Raw genomic sequence first — 24,484 nt, 5'->3', positions numbered from 1 at the left:
AACGCCGCATATCTACAACTATCTGATCTTTGACAAACCTGAGAAAAACAAGCAATGGGAAAAGGATTCCCTATTTAATAAATGGTGCTGGGAAAACTGGCTAGCCATATGTAGAAAGCTGAAACTGGATCCCTTCCTTACACCTTATACAAAAATTAATTCAAGATGGATTAAAGACTTAAATGTTAGACCTAAAACCATAAAAACCCTAGAAGAAAACCTAGGCACTACCATTCAGGACATAGGCATGGGCAAGGACTTCATGTCTAAAACACCAAAACCAATGGCAACAAAAGCCAAAATTGACAAATGGGATCTCATTAAACTAAAGAGTTTCTGCACAGCAAAAGAAACTGCCATCAGAGTGAACAGGCAACCTACAAAATGGGAGAAAATTTTTGCAACCTACTCATCTGACAAAGGGCTAATATCCAGAATCTACAATGAACTCAAACAAATTTACAAGAAAAAAACAAACAACCCCATCAAAAAGTGGGCAAAGGATATGAACAGACACTTCTCAAAAGAAGACATTTATGCAGCCAAAAAACACATGAAAAAATGCTCACCATCACTGGCCATCAGAGAAATGCAAATCAAAACCACAATTAGATACCATCTCACACCAGGTAGAATGGCAATCATTAAAAAGTCAGGAAACAACAGGTGCTGGAGAGGATGTGGAGAAATAGGAACACTTTTACACTGTTGGTGGGACTGTAAACTAGTTCAACCATTGTGGAAGTCAGTGTGGCGATTCCTCAGGGATCTAGAACTAGAAATACCATTTGACCCAGCCATCCCATTACTGGGTATATACCCAAAGGTCTACAAATCATGCTGCTATAAAGACACATGCACACGTATGTTTACTGCGGCATTATTCACAATAGCAAAGACTTGGAACCAACCTAAACGTCCAACAATGATAGACTGGATTAAGAAAATGTGGCACATATACACCATGGAATACTATGCAGCCATAAAAAATGATGAGTTCATGTCCTTTGTAGGGACATGGATGAAATTGGAAATCATCATTCTCAGCAAACTATCTCAAGGACAAAAAACCAAACACCGCGTGTTCTCACTCATAGATGGGAATCGAACAATGAGAACACATGGACACAGGAAGGGGAACATCACACTCTGGGGACAGTTGTGGGGTGGGGGGAGGGGGGAGGGATAGCATTAGGAGATATACCTAATGCTAAATGACGAGTTAATGGGTGCAGCACACCAGCATGGCACATGTATACATATGTAACTAACCTGCACATTGTGCACATGTACCCTAAAACTTAAAGTATAATAATAAAAACAACAACAACAGAAAAAAAAAACTGGAAGCCCAGGACAGGAGGGCTTGCCCCTGTGGCTGCATCCCTATAGACATAGAGGGCATCTGCTTTGACCCCCTTTGTTATCTTCTCTCAAGGCAGAAATGGGAGGCCCTTGATGACACAACTGTACATCAGGATGCACAGAGCAAGTTTCTCTCTGTTCTCCACTAGAACCATAGAGAACAAGCTGGCAATGATTTCTGACCAATAGGGATATGACACAGGGAGTTTCAAACATTGTGTGTTTCTCTCACTAGAACATGTAGCATATCTTCTGAAAGAAGGCACTCTGATCTTGGGGTAACACTGTTAAGAATAAACACTAGTCACTGAACATCAGAACCATGAGCTCCCCAGGAGAAACCAAAATGAGAGTGTCTGGATGCTTTTCGGCCCCAAGTGGATGATTTCCCTGAGGTCCTTCATATCTAACCATGATAAGGGAAAAACACAGTGAGTGTCCTGACCCTTGCTAGAGGAATAAAATATCTTCAGGCACTGCATGAAGCTGAAATCTGGAAAACACAGTCTCTCTGAAAACACCTAACTCCTAACATAGGCAAGGAGACCATGTCTACAAGGGGAGAGATGGGGCAACCATCTAGATCTCTCTATTCCAATTCCATAGCGCCCATTCATTCCAGTGTGAAATCTCTTCAGCAGAGCAGAAACACACAATGAGGCAGAGACAGACAGAACCAGCCCAGAGACCTGAAAGTGAAAGTCTTCACTGATCTCAAGGCAGTAAAATGAAGCCCTTCGGAAGAAAACCCAAGTACCCCTTCTCCCCACCCTCATTCATGCCTTACTCCCCTGTAAAATGGTTCCAACTCTCCAGAAAAAGGGAACTGATTAACACACAGTATACTTGGTCTCTTTGCACTATTGCCCAGACACAGAAACATAAACATAAGTAAGAATACTGTATCCTGCTACTGGAAAAACAAGAGCTTTAGTGGTAAATTTTGCTCCAAAATCTCTTCCAATGATCTTTCATTTTGGGTGTTTTTGTCAGACTAAATATTTACTGCTGTTTAATACCAAACGTAATATGAACTACCAAGTAGCATTTACCAGATATACACTCAACACTCCTTATCCTCTTTCCTTATTTTTATTTCATGACGATTATTATTTTTAAAGACAGGGTCTCACTCTGCTGCTTGGGTTGGAGCGCAGTGGTGCAATCATAGTTTGCTGTAGCCTCAAACTTCTGGGCTCAAGTGATCCTTTCACCTCAGCCTCCCCAGTAGCTAGGACTACAGGCATATGCCACCACATCCTGATTTTGTTTTTGGTAGAGATGGGGTCCTACTATGTTGCCCAGGCTGGTCTCACACTCCTGGCCTCAAACAATCCTCCCATATCAGCCTCCCAAAGTGCTAAGAATACAGGAGTGAGCCACCATGCCTGGCCCCTTATTTTTATCTATAGCCTTTAATCACATTTTAGTATATTATATATTTGTATTTATTGTCTATTTCCTTCCAAAGCCTAACTAGACTGTCCCCTCCCTGAGAACAGAGACTTTGTTTTGTTCACTGTCTGAAACAGTGCCTGACATTGTCAGCAATCTATCCATTGACCAAAGACTGAATGAAGACATTCACATTGTACATTACTTATAGTAAACACTACTTCCTAATTTTTACAGACTAAATGATTCTATTGCATTAAGCACTTGGCTGATATAAACCGCGTCTCTATTTTTTACTGCAGGACCTGAAGAGATAGATAGGTCTTCAAATCAAAGTGACACCCTTCCTGCCTGGGGAACACAGCAAGACATCAAGGCTCTCTTGCCCCAGGGATGCCATGGTCTAGACAGTTTATTAAGACATCAGCCTTGCTTGCCTGAGGCTAGTCCTTCTGCTACATCTGGAAAGAAAGGTGAAGCAAGCTCGCCCTTGGATCAGAAAAAAGGAAAAAGCAGGGTGAAAAAACTGCCCAACTGTACCTTAGAAGGGTAATTTCAAGCCTTGGTTTCACCAACTAAGGTACAACCATCAACCTAAATGATAAAACCCCTCCCTTAGCCATCTTCAGCAATTCCATATCTACCGGGTACATTCATTCATTTATTTATTTATTTATTTATTTATTTATTTATTTATTTATTTAGAGGCAGGCTGTCACCCAGGCTGGAGTGCAATGGCGCAATCTAGGCTCACTGCAACCTCTGCATCCCAGGCTCAAACAATCCTCCCACCTCAGCCTCCCAAGCAGCTGGGACTACAGGCATGTGCCACCATGCCTGGCTAATTTTTTTATTTTTTTCGTAAAGACAGGGTTTCACCATAATGGCCAGGCTGCTCTCCACCTCCTGGGCTCAAGCGATCCACCCACCTCAGCCTCCCAAAATGTTGGGATTGCAGATATGAGCCATAGTTCCCCTCCATCAGGTAAGTTGAGATATCCTTCACGGAAGAACCTCCACTCCCTGCAGTTCCTCTAGATTTATCATCTGCATCAGGACCCATGTCTCTTTTTCTCAGGCCTGCAGATTTATGAGGGGCTTCAAATGTTGACTTTTTTTTTTTCTTTGAGACAAGGTCTGGTTCTGTCACCCAGGCCAGAATGGCATGAGCTCAGCTCACTGCAACCTCTGCCTCCTAAGCTTAATCCTCCCAACTCAGCCCCCAGAGTAGCTGGGACCACACCCGGCTAATTTTTGTATATTTTGTAGAGATGGGGTTTTGCCATGTTGCCCAGGCTGGTCTCAAACCCCTGGATTCAACCGATCCACCAGCCTTGGCCTCCCAAAGTGCTGGGATTACAGGCATGAGCCACCCTGCCTGGCCAAATGTTGACTCTTAATAAGAGCTCTAAACCGGGTTACACCCTCTGTCCCTAAGACACACTGGCAGCTTGGAAAGATGTTCACCACAACTTTAAATGTGTGTCCCATTTCTGGGCCACCCCAAGTCTAATACACTAGGAATTAAAATTTATAATAATCTTGTCAGTTGTGTAGTCACATTGTATTGAATTTTGGTATGTTAATTTTTTGTCAAATGTAAATATTTAAAGCATATCCCATTTTTGTTGTCCTGTGTTACACAGTCTTATAGTTAAATAGACTTCAAAAGAATGGAAGTGGCTCAGATCCCTCTCAACTTCTAAGAGACCCTGATCTCTCATCCCATTGGCCCTTCTAATAGAGCTATTGGCATTCACATCCTATTTTCAGCCCAAATGTCAGTTCCTGGAGTACAAAGGCGGTGGCTGCTTCAGATGCTTCAGACTGAAACTGCTCTTTGCCATTCTCATGGACACTGGAGAGTTAAGTTTGGTTAAATTGATGCCTTTTTCTTTTAAAAAAGAAAGAATACACATATACCTTTGTGTACACACAAGCTAGGAAACATCAATCTAATACATGGATGGCAAGAAAAACCAGATCTGGCTCATGCCAGTTACAATGGTCTGTGAAGATAAAAAGATTTCTTCAGATTTATTTCTCAGCCAATTTCTGCTTTTCCTAGGGAGAAATTAAAAGTTTGTTAAATACCTATGTTTAGCCTTTTATTAATTTAGCCGGTGAAATTAAAAGTACTGGTAGACTGTAATTAAATTAAGACATTTTCGACCTTGAATTAATGCTGCCATTGGAAATGTTGACATGTCTTAATAGTTGGTCTGCATGTTACATTACCACCATCTACTGTTCATAATGGTCAATTTTTAAATAATGACTTTTATTCTTATTTCCCTCAGTGAATCTTTTGTAAATGTAAATATCACATATGCTTGTGACCACTAATTTGAATATGGGGCCCATGGTATCCAACATGGGTAGTATTTCCCAATTAGGGCTCCTTGGTACATTAATGCTAATAAGAGTGTCCCGGGGGGCGGGAAAGAGGAGTTCAGTAGTCAAACTTGTTTTGGAAATGCTGCTTGCTACATCCAGGCTTAAAAAGTTACAATTTACCCCAGCAAATTTAAGGATCTGAAGAGTTCTTCAGTAAAGAAACTGGTTCAATGTTGTGGAACCCAGTGTTTTCCAAGCTTGTATAATCATGGAAATCTTTTTAGGTAAACCACCTATTAATATTTTTCAAGACATCAGAGTTTGGTGCTGTAGGGCTTTAGGTCAGAGGGTACTGGGCCTATTCCAAAAACTCATAGCTGCAAGTGTTTCATTCTATCAAATGCCAACAAGAAAACTAGACAATTTTACAACATAATTTCTGCTCATAAATAATTTGCCACCAGGTTTACAGTTTTCTTATACTACCTTCGAGAGACATACGGTGGCAAGGTAACACTGTTGTCACTATCACTTCACAGCAGTTATTTCTGAAAGTGAAAAATCATCCTACCACTAGGCCTTAATAACAAGTTTATGGCAGAACTTCTCAAATGTTGCCAGCAAAACACCCCTGATAGTAAAGAAGGATAAATTCAAACCCCTGGAATGAGACTGCTAAAAACAGCACATTTCTGAAATGTTATGTTTTATCTTAAAAATTCATGCAAGAAATAGTGGCATGTTTGTGAAATGACAAATGTTCAGGGTTATCCACTGCAGTGATATTTTTAATAAGAAAAGATTTAATATAACTCAAATGCGCATGAACAGGAAAATGGTTAAATAAATTATACTACAACCACACCATGGAACATGCTATTGAGCTGTTTAAAAAAAAAAGAATGGGGAAATGTTCTACACACTAACATGGAAATATCTCCAAGATATTGTGTCATATGAAAAAAGCAAAAAAAAAAAAAACAAAAAAAACCAGAAGTGTATAATATGCTAGCTTTTATCAGAAAGGGGAAAAATAAGACTCTGTATTCTTAAGTTGCTAATGTGTGCATAAAGCAATTCTAAAAGGATCCAGAAGAAACTCTTAACAGTGGTTACCTTTTGGGGAAGAGGATGAGAACTCAAAAAAGGGGAGAGAAGGATGAGGAGAAACTCGAAACTTGATCTTTTGATGTTTTTTGAGCCATGTGAATGTGTAACCTATCAAAAATTATATTATAAAGTCAAAAATCATGCAAATGTTTTACTCTACTCCATGACATATTCAAATTTGTCTTAAGAGTTTAAGAAGCAGGGCATAACTACTCTGGAGGCTGAGGAGGGAGGATCAGTTGAAACCAGGAGTCTGAGACCAGGAGTTTGAGACCAGACTGGACAACATTGAAACCCTGTATCAAAAAAAAATTTTCTTAATATATATTTTTAAAGGTTTTAAAAATTACCCACATATTTTCACAACAGTACAACTAAATCCATATTTAAACTCTGATTGGTAGGTTATCTGAGATATGTAGGGTCTTGTGTGAAAGGTATGGGTTTAGGCCATTTAAAAGTTGCTTAAACATTTAGCCTTCATTCCATTTGGTAAACCAACATCAATACAAAAAATGATCTGGAATCTCCACTAAAAAGTACTTGTTTGACAGTTTGGGATTTTTATCTACAGGCCGGGGTATTTTAGACCTGGCAAATATTAACCCCAGGGTCCCAGGACTCATGCTCAAAATTAGTACTAACTTATTTTGGAAGTAACTACGGAGAAAATGCCACAACACTGAAATGACAACCCAAAATGTGGAGTGTCACAGAGTTATGTGCACTCCTCAGTGCCAGAGTGTCCAACGGAAAGCCAACTGGTTGGGAGGCAAGAAACCTCAAAGGCAAACCTTCTGCTTTATAATCTAACGTAACTGGAATTAAAACTCTCCAAGTATTTTCAAAATATTTTTTAAAACTTGTTGATTATTTTTAAAATTAAGTAGTCTGGCTTAAGCTAAACAATTTTCCACTACATTTCCCAAATTTTAAAGAAGTAGGCTTCATTTGGTTATACTAATTTTTTTTGGAGGCAGGGTCTCACTCTGTCGCCTAGGATGGGATGCTGTGGTGCAATTCTAGTTCACTGCAGCCTTGACCACCTCAGGTGCTAAGGCAATCCTCCCACCTCAGCCTTCCGAGTAGCTGGGACAGACTGCAGGCATGCGCCACCATGCCCACTATTTATTACTATTTGTAAAGACAGAGTCTCCCAATGTTGCCCAGTCTGGTCTGGAATTCCTGGGTTCAAGCGATCCTCCTGCCTCAGCCTCCCAAAGTGTTGGGATTACAGGCATGAGCCACCATGCCTGGCCTTACTATACTTTCAGAGAACTTTTACTAAAATGCTTTCTATATATGTGGAAAATATATGGCATTTTTATATGGTCTAATAAATAAATAAAATATAACTCAGATATAACTGATGAAACAAGCAAATGCAATATGATTAGTGTCAATAAAATGTACTAAAGGTTCCTGCATTTTATTCCAGAAGATACTCTAGGTGTAAGTTTTATGTCCTTGTCTACCTCCTAAGAATGATTTAATAAACCAACGGTGTCATAAAAGTCTCCTACATTCTTTCAAATTGAAATTTTATTTCTAGGTATAAATGAGGCCAGAATTAAAAAGACAAACAGCATGAATAGATGAACCGTGCAGCACGACCAGCAGGGAGTCATTTGTTACTGCTTTCTTTGATTCTGATCCTGTCTCAGAAGGCTGTTCTCTGTGGAATCCCTTCAGAGAAACAAACAGGCAGTGGGGACCGCAAGGGCTTAAAACTCTACTGCAATCTCCTGATGATCTGTTGGATATTCATAAGTGGCAAAATGATTCCACCTTTAGGTTTTATTTCGTTGTAATAAAGAATTATGAATAATTGATCACTAGGTAATAAATTATTCAGGTAGGCACACAGTTTCCAAGGAATCCTGGAGTGAGTCTGGTTAATGGCAAAGCAGGAGCTTGAGGCAGCTGCTGAGGGGACACCCCCCCATTAACCTCACACTGCAAAGGCATGGGTAGTTAGTGCCTCTCAGTGTGGGCTTTTCAATAGGGGCCATATTAATGCCTTTTGATTTTTTTTTTTTTTTGGACTGAAACACCTGTTTTATTTTCCCAATCTAAACAAAATTTCCTTGACGTTAGTGTTGTCACAAGCAACAACTTTTTTTAAATTGTTTTTGTTATTTATAACATGTAGTTAAAAGTATTCATAGATATATAGTTTAAAAAACAAAAAAATCCTCAGAAGATCTCTACTTTTAGAAAATGCAGTTTGAACAATATCTGGCAAATTTGGAGGATCATATATTATTGTTATAAATGAGGCAATATAGGAAATAAAAACACAAAACTGACATCTTGGTTCTGCATAGTTTATCTGACAAACTCTTGAAATAGATACCGTTTAGTAGAAAATACACGTTTGACAACACTGAGTAACATATATGGGCTAAAGTGGGCTTAACATGCCACTGATGGACACACAAATTAAGCCGTTTGTGGGACATAAGTACAAATACCAATTAAAGAAATGACAAATAATTTTGTAAATTGTCATCTAAAAGCAAGAAGAGTCCCAAAATAAATGACGTATAGAGTGACGATACAAGTGGGCTAAGTCTTAGGATAAAATTTTCATTCTTAAACTCCATACCACTAGGACATATACTGCGTAACTACTGCTGTTTCACAGGACTAGCAACCGTCAATCATCTCTTTGCTAATTGGTACAAAAACTGCACAGAAATTATGTATCTGAAATTGGGTCTCTAAATTCGTCTCTAGATTCTACATAGAACATAATCATGCTGAGTCCATACCATGAGGTCCATTTGTTATTCTACATGGATTTATGCCTTTAATCTACATGGAATGTATAACCAGAGAAAATTTAAAATGTGTTTTAGAACCAAAATACTAAACTAACGAAACTTTTAGCTAACTACAACCAAAAAGCAATCATTGTTATTGTATGTACTATTAATTAGAAAAGGCTATACTAGTTCAAGCCTTAGGTTCGCGAAGTCAAAATGGACACCAAGTCTTCCGTAGGCGGAGCAAGTCAGCAGGCAGCTATCCTCCTTACAGTGCTTCTGTACACAGGTGCCAGCGTCTCAATGCAAGAGCTCAGAAGAGAAGCTCCAAGGTCAGGAGGGCTCTACTCCTTAGGCTGAAGTGACATGTAAATGATGCATCATTCCACTCAGAAATTACTAGCCAGGACACTAGAAAAAGAAATGGTGGATAGGAGGCAGGACTAACTTGCAGCTCCCACTCAGACAGACAGAGCAGCGTGTGAAGACTCATACAGAGAACTTTTGCTCCAAGAACTACCACAGGAACATACCAGGAAAGCGAGAGGATCCACAGATCCTTTGAAGGAAGCGGATTGCTGCTGCAGGCACCTGGAGACAGCCAAAACACTCTGAGTGCCCAAAGTGTGAAAGAGGGATCATCTGCCCCCAAACACACACCCTCACTGGGGAACCTGAAGGTCCAGATCACAGAAGGATCTGACCTTACCTGGAGCTGAGACAAATTTAGAGAGCCAAGTGAAATACAGGTGTAGAAGCAGCAGCAGGAAGAGCCCTGTGGGCACTCTTGGTCCCCAGCGAAGCCGTTTCTGACTTTGTCTCACAGGGGTCCTTGGAGAGGGCTGCCAGAGGAACTGGGAAAAGACCACAGGGAGAAGGAAACTTCCAGCTGAACTTTGTAACCATTTTGACCAAACGCAGTTTCCTGGACAGAACCTGGGGGAGGGGGCGAATAGGGAGTGCAGACACAGCACAGAAGCTGCGGCAGGTGGGGAAACACAGAACCTGAAAGTCCTGCATGCTTTCTCAGCGGGGAGGCTGGTGGCCTGGGGAAAGTTCCCAGCTCTGTTCACCCGCTGCCTGGAAATAAACTCAGTGCTATTGAGAGGGCACGGTAGGAGTAACACTGGCCTTTTGGGATACGTGGGAGCTGCATGAGGCCTGTAACTGCCAGTTTTCTCCCACTTCCCTGGTGACCTGCATGATGCAGCAGAGGCAGCCATAATACCCCTGGAAACATAATCCCACTGGCCTGAGAACCACACCCACATACCCCACAGCAGCCACAGCAAGCCCCACCCAAGAAGAGTCTGAGCTCAGACACACCTAACCTTGCCCCAACCTAATGGTCTTTCTCTACCTGCTCTGGTAGCTGAAGACAAAGGACATATTCTCCTGGGAGCTCTATGGTCCCACCTACCACCTGATCCTTCCTATACTACCACAGCTGATGCTCTCTTGAAAGCGCCACCTTCTGGCTGGAGGCCAACCAACACAAAACTAGTACAATAAACAAAACTACAACCAAGGACCCTCGCAGAGTCCACTTCACTCCCCTGCCACCTCCACTGGAGCAGGTGCTGGGATCCAGGGCTGAGAGACTGAAGATGGTTCACATCACAGGATGCTGTGCAGACACTCCCCACTAGCAGTCCAGAGCCCAGTAGCTCTGCTGGGTGGTTAGATCCAGAAGAGAAATAACAACCACTGCAGGTCAGCTCTCAGGAAACCACATCCCTAAGGGAAAGGGGAGAGCACCACATCAAGGGAGCACCCTCATGAGACAAAAGAATCTAAACAGCAGTCCTTGAGCCCCAGATCATTTCTCTGATGTAGTCTACTCAAAGGAGAAGGCACCAGAAAAACAATCCTGGTAATACGAAAAAACAAAGTGAACACCCCCAAAAGATCACACTAACTCACCAGCAACAGATCCGAACCAAGAAGAAATCTCTGAATTGCCAGAAAAAGAATTCAGGAGGTCAATTATTAGCTAATCGAGAAGGCATCAGAGAAAGGTGAAGTCTAACTTAATGAAATCAAAAAATGATACAAGATATGAAAAGAAAAAACTTCGGTGAAATAGAATACATAATAAAGTGATACTTCTGGAAATGGACACACTTAGAGAAATGCAAAATGCACTGAAAAGTCTCAGCAATAGAATCGACAAGTAGAAGAAAAAACTTCAGACCTTGAAAACAAGACTTTCCAATTAATCTAATCTGAAAAAGACAAAGAAAAAATAATTTTTTTAAAAAGCCTCCAAGAGGTTTGAGATTATGCTAAACAACCAAACCAAAGAATAACTGGTATTTCCAAGAAAGAAGAGAAATCTACAAGTTTGGAAAACATACTTGAGAGAATAATCAAGGAAAACTTACCTGGCCTTGCTAGAGATCTAGGCATCCAAATACGAGAAGCTCAAAGAACACCTAGGTAATTCATTGCAAAAAGATCATCGCCTAGGCACACACTCATCAGGCTGTCTCAAGTCAAGATGAATGAAACTATCTTAAGAGCTGTGAGAAATACCTAATGTAAATGAGGAGTTGATAGGTGCAGCAAACCAACATGGCAAATGTATACTTATGTAACAAACCTGCACGTTGTGCACATGTACCCTAGAACTTAAAGTATAATTAAGAAAAAAAAAAAAGAATCACTTTATTGGAAACCAGATACATATTCTGATTAAGGGGAAAAAAAGAGCTGTGAGGCAAAAGCATCAAGTAACCTATAAAGGAAAACCTATCATATTAACAGCAGATTTCTCAGCAGACACCCTACTAGAAGGGACTGGGACCCTATCTTTAGCCTCCTAAAAGAAAATAATTATCAGCCAGGAATTTTGTATTCAGTGAAACTAAGCTTCATAAGTGAAAAAAAGATACAGTCTTTTTCAGACAAACAAATACTGAGAGAATTCACCACTACCAAGCCAGCACTGTAAGAACTGCTAAAAGGAGTTCTATATCTTGAAAACACATTTTCGCAATACACCAAAATAGAACCTCCTTAAAGCATAAATCTCACAGGACCGATAAAACAAAAACAATGAAAAAATAAAAAGGTATTCAGGCAACAAACCGCATAAGGAATAGAATAGCATGTATCTCAATATTAATGTTGAATGTAAATAACATAAATGCTCCACTTAAAAGACACAGAATGGCAGAATGAAAAAGAATTCACCAACCAACCATCTGCTGTTCTCAGGAGACTCACCTAATGCATAAGAACTCATGTAAACTTAAGGTAAAGGGGTGGAAAAAGATATTCCATGCAAATGGGCACCAAAAGCAAGGAGGAGTAGCTATTCTTATATCAGACAAAACAAACTTTAAAACAACAGCAGTTAAAAAGGACAAAGAGGGACATTATACAATGATAAAAAAAACTTGTCCAAAAGGAAAATATCACAATCCTAAACATACATGCACCCAACACTGGAGCTCCCAAATTTACAAAACAATTACTACTAGACCTAAGAAATGAGATAGACAGCAACACAATAATAGTGGGGGACTTCAACACTCCACTGACAGCAATAGACAGGTCAGCAAGATAAAAAGTTAATAAAGCCACAGGACATACTAACCAGCAACTATAGAATATACATTCTATGCATCAGCACGTGTAACATTCATTCTCCAAGACAGACCATATGATAAGCCATAAAACAGGTCTCAATAAATTGAAGAAAATTGAAATTATATCAAGTATTCTCTCAGATCAAAGTGGAATAAAACTGAAAATCCACTCCAAAAGGAACTCTCAAAACCATGGAAATACATTGAAATTAAATAACCTGCTCCTGAATGAGTGTTGGGTGAACAATAAAATCAAGATGGAAATTTAAAAATTATTTGAAGTATAATAGTGACAAAACCTATCAAAACCTCTGGGATACCACAAAGGCAGTGGTAAGAGGAAAATTCATAGACTTAAATGCCCAAATCAAAAAGTCTAAAAGGGCACAAATAGACAATTGTCGATTTTAGGTCTTTCTTGCTCACATCAAAAAGTCTAAAAGGGCACAAATAGACAATTGTTGATTTTAGATCTTTCCCATTTTCTCCTGTGGGCATTTAGTGCTATAAATTTCCCTCTAAACACTGCCCTAGCTGTGTCCCAGAGATTCTGGTATGCTGTGTCTTTGCTCTCCTTCATTTCAAAGAACTTATTTCTGCCTTAATTTTCTTATTTACCCAGTAGTCATTCAGGAGCAGGTTGTTCAGTTTCCACGTAATTGGGCAGTTTTGAGTGAGTTTCTTAATCCTGAGTTCTAATTTGATTGCACTGCGGTCTAAGAGAGGGTTTGTTATGATTTCTGATCTTTTGCATTTGCTGAGGAGTGTTTTACTTCCAATTATGTGGTCGATTTTAGAATAAGTGCTATGCGGTGCTGAGAAAAATGTATATTCTGTTGATTTGGGGTGAAGAGTTCTGTAGATGTCTATCAGGTCTGCTTGGTCCAGAGCTGAGTTCAAGTCCTGAATATCCCTGTTAATTTTCTGTCTTGTTGATCTGTCTAATATTGACAGTGGGGCATCAAAGTCTCCCACAATTATTGTGTGGGAGTCTAAGTCCCTTGGTAGGTCTCTAAGAACTTGCTTTATGAATCTGGGTGCTCCTGTATTGGGTGCATATATACCTAGGATAGTTGGCTCTTCTCGTTGCATTGATCCCTTTACATTATGTAATGCCCCTCTTTGTCTCTTCTAATCTTTGTTGGTTTAAAGTCTGTTTTATCAGAGACTAGAGACTAGGATTCCAACCCCCCCCCCCACCTTTTTTTTTTTTTTTTTTTTTGCTTTCCATTTGCTTGGTAAATAGTCCTCCATCCTTTGTTTTGAGCCTATGTTTGTCTTTGCACGTGAGATGGGTCTCCTGAATACAGCACACCAATGGGTCTTGACTCTATCCAATTTGCCAGTCTGTGCCTTTTAATTGGGGCATTTAGCCCATTTACATTTGAGGTTAATATTGTTATGTGTGAATTTGATCCTATCATTATGATGCTAGCTGGTTATTTTGTCCATTTGTTGATGCAGTTTCTCCATAGTGTTGATGGTCTTTACATTTTGGTTTGTTTTTGCAGTGGCTGGTACCGGTTTCTCCTTTCCATATTTAGTGCTTCCTTCAGGACCTCTTGTAAGGCAAAATCCTCAGTATTTGCTTGTCTGTAAAGGGTTTCATTTCTCCTTCATTTTTGAAGCTTAGTTTGGCTGGATATGGAATTCTGGGTTGAAAATTCTTTCCTTTAAGAATGTTGAATATTGGCCCCCACTCTCTTCTGGCATGTAGGGTTTCTGCAGAGAGGTCTGTTGTTAGTCTGATAGGCTTCCCTTTGTGGGTAAACCAACCTTTCTCTCTGGCTGCCCTTCACATTTTTTCCTTCATTTCAACCTTGGTGAATCTGACGATTATGTGTCTTGGGGTTGGTCTTCTTGAGGAGTATCTTTGCAGTGTTCTCTGTATTTCCTGAATTTGAATGTTGGCCTGTCTTGCTAGGTTGGGGAAGTTCTCCCGGATAATATCCTGATGAGTGTTTTCCAACTTGGTTCCATTCTCCCCGTCCCTTACAGGTACACCAATCAAATGTAGATTTGGTCTGTTCACATAGTCCCATATTTCTTGAAGTCTTTGTTCATTACTTTTCATTCTTTTTTCTCTAATCTTGTCTTCACACTTGATTTCATTAAGTTGATCTTCAATCACTGATATACTTTCTTCCACTTGATTGATTTGACTATTGATACTTGTGTATGCTTCCTTCATGAAGTTCTTGTGCTGTTTTTCAGCTCCATCACATCATTTGTGTTCTTATCTAAACCGGTTATTCTAGTTAGCAACTCCTCTAATTTTTATCAAGGTTCCTAACTTCTTTGCATTGGGTTAGAACACGCTCCTTTAGCTCGGAGGAGTTCATTATTATCCACCTTCTGAAGCATACTTCTGTCAATTTGTCAAACTCATTCTCCATCCAGTTTTGTTCTCTTGCTGGCGAGGAGTTGTGATCCTTTGGAGAAGTGGCATTCTGGTTTTTGGAATTTTCAGCCTTTTTGCGCTGGTTTTTCCTCATCTTCGTGGATTTACCTACCTTTGTTCTTTGCTGTTGGTGACCTTTGGATGAAGTTTTTGCGTGGTCATCCTTTTTGTTGATGTTGATGCTATTGCTTTCTGTTTGTTAGTTTTCCTTCTAACAGTCAGGCCCCTCTTCTGCAGGTCTGCTGGTATTTTCTGGGGGTCCACTCCAAACCCCGTTTGCCTGGGTATCACCAGCAGAGGCTGCAGAACAGCAAAGATTGCTGCCTGTTCCTTCCTCTGGAAGCCTCATCCCAGAGTGGCACCTGCCAGATGCCAGCCAGAGCTCTCCCGTGTGAGGTACCTGTCGACCCCTGCTGGAAGGTGTCTCCCCATCAGGAGGCACGGGGGTCAGGGACCCACTTGTGGAGGCAGTCTGTCCCTTAGCAGAGCTCGAGTGCTGTGCTGGGAAATCTGCTGCTCTCTTCAGAGTCAGCAGGCAGGAACGTTTAAGTCTGCTGAAGCTGTACCCACAGCCGCCCCTTCCCCCAGGTGCTCTGTCCCAGGGAGATGGGAGTTTTATCTATAAGCCCCTAACTGAGGCTGCTGCCTTTCTTTCAGAGATGCCCTGCCAGAGAGGAGGAATCTAGAGAGACAGTCTGGCTACAGCGGCTTTGTGGCACTGCAGTAGGCTCCACCCAGTTTGAACTTCCTGGCAGCTTTGTTTATACTGTGAAGGGAAAACCACCTACTCAAGCCTCAGTAATGGTGAACACCCCTCCCCCCACCAAGCAACAGCATCCCAGGTCGACCTCAGACTGCCATGCTGGCTGTGAGAATTTCAAGCCAGTGGATCTTAGCTTGCTGGGTTCCATGGGAATGGGATCCGCTGAGCAAGACCTCTTGGCTCCCTGGCTTCAGCCCCCTTTCCAGGGGAGTGAACAGTTCTGTCTCGCTGGCATTCCAGGCACCACTGGGATACAGGGAAAAAAAAAACAAAAAACAAAAACCTGCAGCTAGCTGGGTGTCTGCCCAAACGGTTGCCCAGTTTTGTGCTTGAAACCCAGGGCGCTTGTGGTGTAGGCCCCTGATGGAATCTCCTGGTCTGTGAAGACTGTGGGAAAGGTATAGTGGCTGAGCTGGAATGCACTGTTCCTCATGGCACAGTCCCTCACAGCTTCCCTTCGCTAGGGGAGGGAGCTCCCCAACCCCTTGCACTTCCGGGGTGAGGTGACGCCCCACCCTCCTTCTGCTCGCCCTCCGTGGGCTGTACCCACATCTAACCAGTCCCAATGAGATGAACCAGGTACCTCAGTTGGAAATGCAGAAATCACCCACCTTCTGCATTGATCTCGCTGGGAGCTGCAGACCAGAGCTGTTCTTATTCGGCCATCTTGCCCTGGAATCGCCTTTTGAATTTTTATAAAGTAGAAGTCTCCACTGAGTACTTCCAAGTACTCAATACTGAGTTCATGTCCAAGTATAGTTATGAAATATTGAGCCCTTGCCTCTTCATCCATCAGAACGGGATATTATTACCAGCTGAACACAACTTTTGCTGCTGAAACTAGTGTTGAACTAAAAAACTGTCCAATTAAAAAATGCATACACATATACACACCTTAAACACACACATACACACACACATATATATACGTGAGTATATATTTACGTATGTATACACATACACACACACACACAGAGTTTTTATGGTTATGTGAGCTAGCAAAATAATGCCAAAATAAGCTTTATCTGTGGGAAATTATCTACTGTTGTCAGTTTTCAAAACCTTTTGAATATGTACTTACTCCCTGCAAGTTCAATAGTCAACTGCTTTAAAGCTTACTTAAAATGCAATTTCAGATATGTGTCAGGTCCAATTCATATGGAACACCCAAATGTTTCATTTTTTAAGTAATGTTAAACTGCCTTGCAACTCACATCTGTCATTAATCCTTCCTGTAATTTTGATTACTAAAGCAATTCTAAAAATAATAGAAACTACTCATTAGAGCTCAATAATCTTTGCACCAAAATGTCTTTGAAATAGCAATATAAATTAAAAGCAGCTGATCACCAAATAGCAAATCCAATATTGCAAAAAGTGGATTGGCCGATATTATCCCCAAACTCACAGTGTATGCATTTGTATGAGGCTTATGAGATGAAAGACATAAGCAAAGAAAGAAGAGAGGAAATGAAGGGCTGTGGGGCCACAAATCTTCCTTGAATCTCCCCTGAAGGAAAGCAGCCATAGCTAAGTGATTAGGTTTTAAAGGGTTTCTCAAAATTCAAACTAATAGGGAAGTGGAAACATCAACCAAACTTTAATTAAAATGCTAAGTGACTGCTGCATGTGGGAGAGACTGAGAAAATTGACACCCAAACACATTCTAATCAGAAATTCAATGTTCCAAATTTTCCACTCTTAGAAAGTTGGAAACCTAGTATGTAGGACAATATTATCAACTACATTTTGATCTTCCTTCTTCACTTGCCCAATAAAGGTACCAAAAACAAAGCCTATGATTTTTCTCTGAGCTAAAAACAATAAAATTGGCTGGTATGAACCCAAGATTAAAAAGCAGCACTCAGCTGAAAGTATCAAGTTTCATAATGATTATCATTAGTAACTGCAAATTCAGCCAGTTTAACAATCTTAAGGGTTTTCATATATCATGGTACAGGGTTTTTGCTTTTTCTAAACACAATTGTTAAGGTACAATTGACATAATACACTGCACATATTTTAAGTGTATAATTTGCCAAATTTTGATATATGTATATACCCATGAAACATGACACCATCTCTACAATCATGATAATGAGCATATCCATCACCCCCACACATTTCATCAGGCTTAGTGTTTGCTTTCTTAATAACTAAAACTTTGGGTGTTTTTTTTTTCATATAACTACCCAAATAAATACAGCACTACTGTACTAATAAGTATGTTCTATAGCATGTCAAAGGTTCATAATTATTCATTCGTGAGTAGCAGGGACTAGGGCTTATAAGAGTATCTGAGAAATAAAAAGTGTTCTCGTTAAACTACGGAATGGAAATTCAATTTCACAGTATTTTAAAGCAATAAAGGTCACACAATATTAACTGCTTATTTTTGATACTACATAACATTATTTATACAATGCACAATTAGTGGAAGTAAACTACTTTTAGAACTCTGGTGCCAACAATGTTTATTTCCCACATAGATGTACAAATTACTCTTAATTAAATTTACAAATTACTCTTTCCAAAAACCAAGCTTAGGAATAACTGACCAAGAAACTATTACTAACATAAGGGTTGCTTGTCTCTCATGTTGACTTGTAAGTCATGCACATCACTCAAAGTGCACTATTTAAACATGGATGTTATGGCAACTAAGCTTTTTTCCCCAGGAAAATCAGTTGAAGAGTAATAAATTGATCCAGAAACTAATTTTAACTTGAGAATTTTCCCCCTTCTCATTTCTTTTAAATTTAAGTCATATACATATCTCATTTCAAGTTACTTAAGGGTGGATGATATCACAACTAAAATTTTCAGTTCAAAATAGGTATAAAGTTGGGTGCTGGCCAAAATTGCCTATATTACTCTTGAGAGACATTCATGCGTCAAAAAGGAACCAGATCGGTTTAGAAGGAAAGGACTGAGTAAAACAGATGCCTCCCTCAACTGATCCAGTTAAAGTAAGCAATGGTAAAAGGGAACTGCCTGCTGTCTGCCAGGAAGAGAGCTGGGCTGCCGGATGCACCAAAAGTTGTTGGAGGAAATATTCTCCCCAAAAGGCTGCTTGTGTAGAAACAACAGCAAGAAGGGCTAGTTACAGATTATACTTGAGGGTGTTGTGCTTGTTTTGGGGTCAGGAAATTAAAGTTAGCTGACTGAATATTCTAATATTCATCAACCATTAAGAATTCTGGATTTGGTTATTGAGGTTCCTCTGGACTCTATTAAAAATCAGCTCACTTTTTATTATAAAACATCTCGATGAAAAAAGCCCTTTTAGGGGAAGGAAAAAAAACCTACAAGGTAGACTACACCCATCAAATTTTGCTCTTGCATTTTTTGCACTCATCCTAAAATACTTTATTTATTGAATAAATGAGATACAATAACTTAATAGGCTTAACACAAAAATCTTGCACTTTAAAAATTTTAGGAAGTCAACAATGACAATGTAAAGGGATCAGCATATCCAATTACATTTATTATTACTATTATTTACTAGAATAGCTTAGATATTCCCCTATCTCATACATTTAAATGAAGAATGCTATTCCATATTTCATGGGATGTCATTCAGTGTTAGCCAAACCATTAGCTTCCCTACTCACAAATCCACCAGAACAACACATTGAAAGAACAGAGTGGAATGATAAATTTAAATAAGTCTGAAAATCTAACAAGTATACTATTGTAATTTGAATATACTTTTACTGCTGACACTAATACGGCTGTAATATTTTAAATACATCACTTTTGTTTTCTTTCAAACAACAGTAATGTAAGAAAAAAGAATTATTTTTAAGAAGAATTTTTGAGTATTGTTGCCTTCTTCCTAACTGTTGTCTTCTTCCTAAATGTTTCTTGGCAATTCAGTCTTAAAAGGAGGCTTTTTTGGCCCCCTGCCTAAGCCAAAAAGAAACTGAGGGTTTCCCTGCAGCCTACTCATTCTAATATTTTATTAGTCATTTCTGATCTGTAAATATTAAAAACCAGATAGAAAGCACACGGATTCTTTTATGCTAACACATGCAGCAAAGCGGCCTTAGGAAAGTCATTTATCTCAGAATATTGACTTCATTACCATGATTGAAACTAATCAAAGTAACTATGTGCCCTTGCATTTTCTTCTCTCCTTATCCATTCCATCTCCCAAACTTTAAATATAAGATGGCCAGAAGCTCAGAGGCTTGACCTTATTGTGTGCAGAGAACTGACAAAGCCCAAAGTGAAGTCCAAGTTCAAATGTACTCTTTCTATATTTACCTAGAGGAACCTAAGCACAAGATTCCGAGAATCTGAACTGTTTTTAATATTAATTTTAGTATTAAAATTTTTAATATTTTAATATGCTTTCATGTTATACTTTCTCTTAAAAGATAAGCAGGAAGATTTTTTTTTTAACTGTGAGAAACTGAAAGAAACTGTGTTTTGAGGTCTGGCAAGGCAAAATAGAAAGAAATCATTAGTTTCTTCCAAATTGTTTTCATAACTCTCCACGGCGTAAACCACTGAATCCTATTAAATTAACTCGTCCCACTCAATAAACCCACTATCCCATCACAGATAACCACTGGAGAGAACTCCTAGACATAATATAGAAATAGTAGCTTTAATAAGAATACATAGATTGAGTTCAAAGTTGGACTCATTAAATCTATTGATGTTTTGTTTAAAATGACTCAAAATTGAAAGTAAAGATATGTTAAAATGATTAAATAAATCAGACAGAAATATCCATAAATAGGTATTAGTAGGTACAATATATAAATATTAGCTTTGCTAAAGGTGATCAGCTATTAAATGGCAGAAATTACAGTCACAATCTGAATTATTGAAAGTGTATTTTTAATATTACAAAAACCCACACATTTTAGTAAGAATTATTATTCCTGCTGGGCATGGTGGCTCACGCCTGTAATCCCAGCACTTTGGGAGACCAAGGCAGGTGGACCACGAGGTTAAGAGTTTGAGACTAGCCTGGCCAAGATGGTGAAACCTTGTCTCTACTAAATATACAAAAATTAGCTGGGCGTGGTGGTGGGTGCCTGTAATCCCAGCTATGCAGGAGGCTGAGGTAGGAGAATTGCTTGAAACTGGGAGATGGAGGCTGCAGTGAGCTGAGATCACACCACTGCACTCCAGCCTGGCAACAGAGCAAGACTCCGTCTCAAAAAAAAAAAAAATGGATGAAGTTCTTTTTATCTAATTACTACAGTGCAAATGTAGCTGTAACTCACAAAAAATGCTTCCATTGAATGACACAGAATGCCTGTCATTTCTCAGTGACCGAAGCTTGCATTCCTTAGTTTTTCAGTTATGCTACTGACAGGAAGAAAATGCTGAACCAGTCATCACATCAAATCGCTGAGGACGCTAAAAGGCACAATAGTCTTCTACTTCAAAGAAGGCACTAGAATCTAGATATCCAACAAGTGGCCGTTAAATGACAAGAAAGCCATAGACTATTATGCAGGTGTTAAAAATGATGCTTTTAAAGAGTATTTACTAACATGGGAAAATGCTTATATTTTCCTGCTTTAAAAAAGCATGTGAGATTGTATATACACTGAACTCTATTCCATTTTAGTGCCATTCACACTGAATGCAACTCTTCTCCCATCCCTTTGCCTAGTACAAGGATCCTCAAAATGCAGTCCTCTAAGATGTAGTAACAGCTGTTAGAAATGCAAATTGTCAGGCCCCTCCTACCAGACCTGCTAAATCAGAAACCTCTGGGGTAGGGGGGAGCCAAGCAATCTGTTTTAATAAGCTCTCCAGACAACTCTGATGCTCAACAAATTGTGAAAACCACTGGCTACTTCTTAATAATTCTTCAGATTTCAGCTCACAGTTCTCAGGGAAGCCTTGCCTCACCCAACCTTCCATCCTGCAAGCAAAGATGAGTTTATTGTACCTCACAAGAACCAAGATTTTTCTTTCACAAGTTATTGCAGCTAAAATTATTTATGATTATGTAAGTAGAGTTTTTATCTCCAGTTGAGATATTTCAAGTCTAGTGACACATATGAATCACCTGGAAGTTCTCAAAAATCCTTGGCCATACCCCAGACCAAACAGAATTCACTGGAGTATGACTCAAGCATCTGTACTTTCTAAATATTGTGATTCCACTGTTTGGCCAAGGTTAAGAATCACTGTACCAGACTCAAGCTCCAGATGACCAGTAAACGGTGACCAGTATTTGTTGAATGAATATGTGGGTTTTTTCACTTTATTTTATAGGTTTTGTTTTGTTTCAGTCTTGCACATGATACAAAATTCCAAATGCACAGAAAGGGTTCAGTGAAAAGTGAAGTCTCCTTCTCTTCCTATCTCCTCTCAGAGGCAATGACTAGGACCAATGCCATGTTTCGTTAAAAGACTGAATATTTGTCAGTGCATACAGAAAAGACCACAGGTTGGATGGCAGGATTATAGATTATTTTACTGCTTCTTTATGCACATCTGAACTTTTTATAAAGTGTATACACATTACTTTCAATATTGGGAAAGGAGGTACCCTATGAATATTTGTATGGGGGTGCATCCAGAGCTATTTAGTAGATAAACACTGGGTCTTAGGGCTCCCACAACAATAGCCACTTAGAATGTACATACAGCTGTTCCATTTTGTCAAGTTCTTAGAAGAGACCTTTTACCTGGTTTAAGCGAGTAATTGCCCAATTATTCCACCTGCTTATTTTGGTTATATTTTCACTTCTCATTAGATATACAGCTTCTCCAGAACTTCTACCAGAAAATGGTGGGAGGGTGCACAAAGGAGGAGGTACTGTTCATCCTAGGAACCAGATTAAGAAGTGGAATCATGGTTTATAGATCTATCTTGTCTTGATTTAGTTAATATAAGCTCCTCTCCAAGACTGACCATCTCTGGGTGTATGAATATGAAAAGCTGAGGCCTGGACCCCAGGGTGGTGGCTGAACCCCTGAGCCCTTTTGACTCCATGCCAGTTAGTGAGTCTGTCTCAATACAGTACTTTGGAACAGGGCTGGACGTCTGAGATTTCTATAAGTAGAAACTGGAGTATGGAGAGCTTTACAACAATGGACCCAGACTTTTTTGGCTTTTGGGGTTTTTTAATTATCTTTTTCTTACTTTCTACCTCCCTTACTCTTATGGTCTAAGACCACTCCCCTCTGTTGTCAGTATGACTCATTCTAGCATCAACTCTTGGCCCCCTATCTTCCATTTTGTTTCCATAACTGGGTAGAAAATCAGCTTGCTAGGACTTTTAAAAATCTACTCTAATGTAGACCCAAGAGCTCTCTGAGGAGGCAAGAGCCTGGACTTGAGGGCCATTTCTTTAAGGACTTGTAGGCCTTTTACTATTTAACTCCTGATCCTTATCTCAGGCAGACATATGAGATAGAGGGGGAAAAAATGCCTTCTGTAGAGATAAAGCATTTCCTTGTTACCATTTTTCCCATATTTAGACAAAGACCAAGGTGTACGATCACAGTTAAGGGGTAAAATATTTGGATACGCACTTGGATAGGACCAAGGGGAAAATACACATAAGTTAGATAGTACACAGAAACAAGTAAGATAATATTGAGTTGGAAAGGGAGTAGCCACTCCAACATCTCCGAGTGCAACCTGCCACACAGATACTTAAGCATTGTCTTGTACTGTATACTAGTTGTTTTATGTGTGTTGATATAGTCTTCCGGACTGGAAGCACCTGAAGGCTAGGCCTTATCTCCTACTGCTTCAGTTTCCTCTCTCGTGCTGAGTCCAAAGCAAAGGTCTAATATTTAAATTGTGGCCGGGCGCGGTGGCTCACGCCTGTAATCCCAGCACTTTGGGAGGCCCAGGCAAGTGGATCACAAGGTCAGGAGATCGAGACCACGGTGAAACCCCATCTCTACTAAAAATACAAAAAATTAGCCGGGTGTGGTGGCGGGCGCCTGTAGTCCCAGCTACTCGGGAGGCTGAGGCAGGAGAATGGCGTGAAGCCGGGAGGCGGAGCTTGCAGTGAGCCAAGATCGCGCCACTGCACTCCAGCCTGGGTGACAAATCGAGACTCCGACTCAAAAAAAAAAAATTTAAATTGTATTAAATACTTCATAGTTGACAGACTAAAACAGACAACAGCATAAAATCAACTCTGCATAGTAAGATCACTATATCTTAAATGTGATAAATTTTTTAAAAATCATTATAACCAACATTCTATGCTGATAAGATGAATGTTGAAATTCACTGTAGCTGTGGCCATGATTAATTACAAGTTTAATCATGTATTTTAGGGTAAACCTATTTCCTTAATATCTCTTTTCTATTAAATTACATGCACTATGCTAATGTTAAGGGCCAAAGTAATTTCTGGGCTGATCAAATCTTTTGGGTTTGATTTTTTGAAAAGATACTTTGACAATTTAACAATACTATAAAATAAAATGAATAAGAACTAGCACAATCTTTTTAGGACTATGACAACATAATTAGACTAGAGTGTCTATAATTATGAAAGAAAATATTCTCAAATATTGTTTTATGAATTTCATGATGCATAATAAAGGAAAAACCTCTATCTCATTCACCATACATTTTAACAGTTTAATTTTATTCTACTGTGATAATGAAAAAAGGGATGCCCAATATTTATGCCAGGAAGAAAACTCTCCAAACATGCATCAAGCAAGTGTAATGTCTGTACTGTAGGTTTTATTTTAATCTCACAGCTAATTCAGAAAGTGAATAAAAATGTAAAGGAATATG

At 39.5% G+C, this 24,484-nt stretch overlaps 1 protein-coding gene and 1 long non-coding RNA gene across 55 annotated transcripts in view, besides 1 other annotated feature; both read right to left on the bottom strand.

The window, feature by feature from the left end:
• The window catches only part of NEK11 (NIMA related kinase 11), a 323,589-nt gene that overhangs the window by 292,253 nt on the left and 6,852 nt on the right, over positions 1-24,484 (bottom strand). Inside the window, exon 4 of one of the 54 annotated variants that reach the window (NM_001353038.2) lies at positions 22,401-22,540. The exons of the other annotated variants lie outside the window; for them this stretch is intronic. The gene's annotated coding sequence lies outside the window, so the exon portion shown is untranslated. The remainder of the gene's footprint in view (positions 1-22,400; positions 22,541-24,484) is intronic. 54 annotated transcript variants of the gene reach the window in all.
• LOC124909434 (uncharacterized) lies at positions 8,521-10,393 on the bottom strand. The gene is made up of 2 exons (XR_007096086.1): positions 9,509-10,393; positions 8,521-9,331 (listed from the first exon to the last, which is right to left on the bottom strand). It is a non-coding gene; the product is annotated as an uncharacterized LOC124909434 (long non-coding RNA).
• Positions 14,928-15,738: an enhancer, noted in NCBI's record as "H3K27ac-H3K4me1 hESC enhancer chr3:130761319-130762129 (GRCh37/hg19 assembly coordinates)". NCBI's record gives its function as "activates a minimal SCP1, AML or CMV promoter by ChIP-STARR-seq in naive H9 embryonic stem cells {active_cell/tissue: H9 hESC(naive)}" and the evidence as "EXISTENCE:reporter gene assay evidence [ECO:0000049][PMID:30033119]".

Source organism: Homo sapiens, chromosome 3, assembly GCF_000001405.40.
Source record: "Homo sapiens chromosome 3, GRCh38.p14 Primary Assembly".
Taxonomy (NCBI): Eukaryota; Metazoa; Chordata; class Mammalia; order Primates; family Hominidae; genus Homo; species Homo sapiens.
The sequence above is the reverse complement of the archived record's forward strand: the minus strand, read 5'-3'. Positions and strand labels throughout refer to the sequence as shown.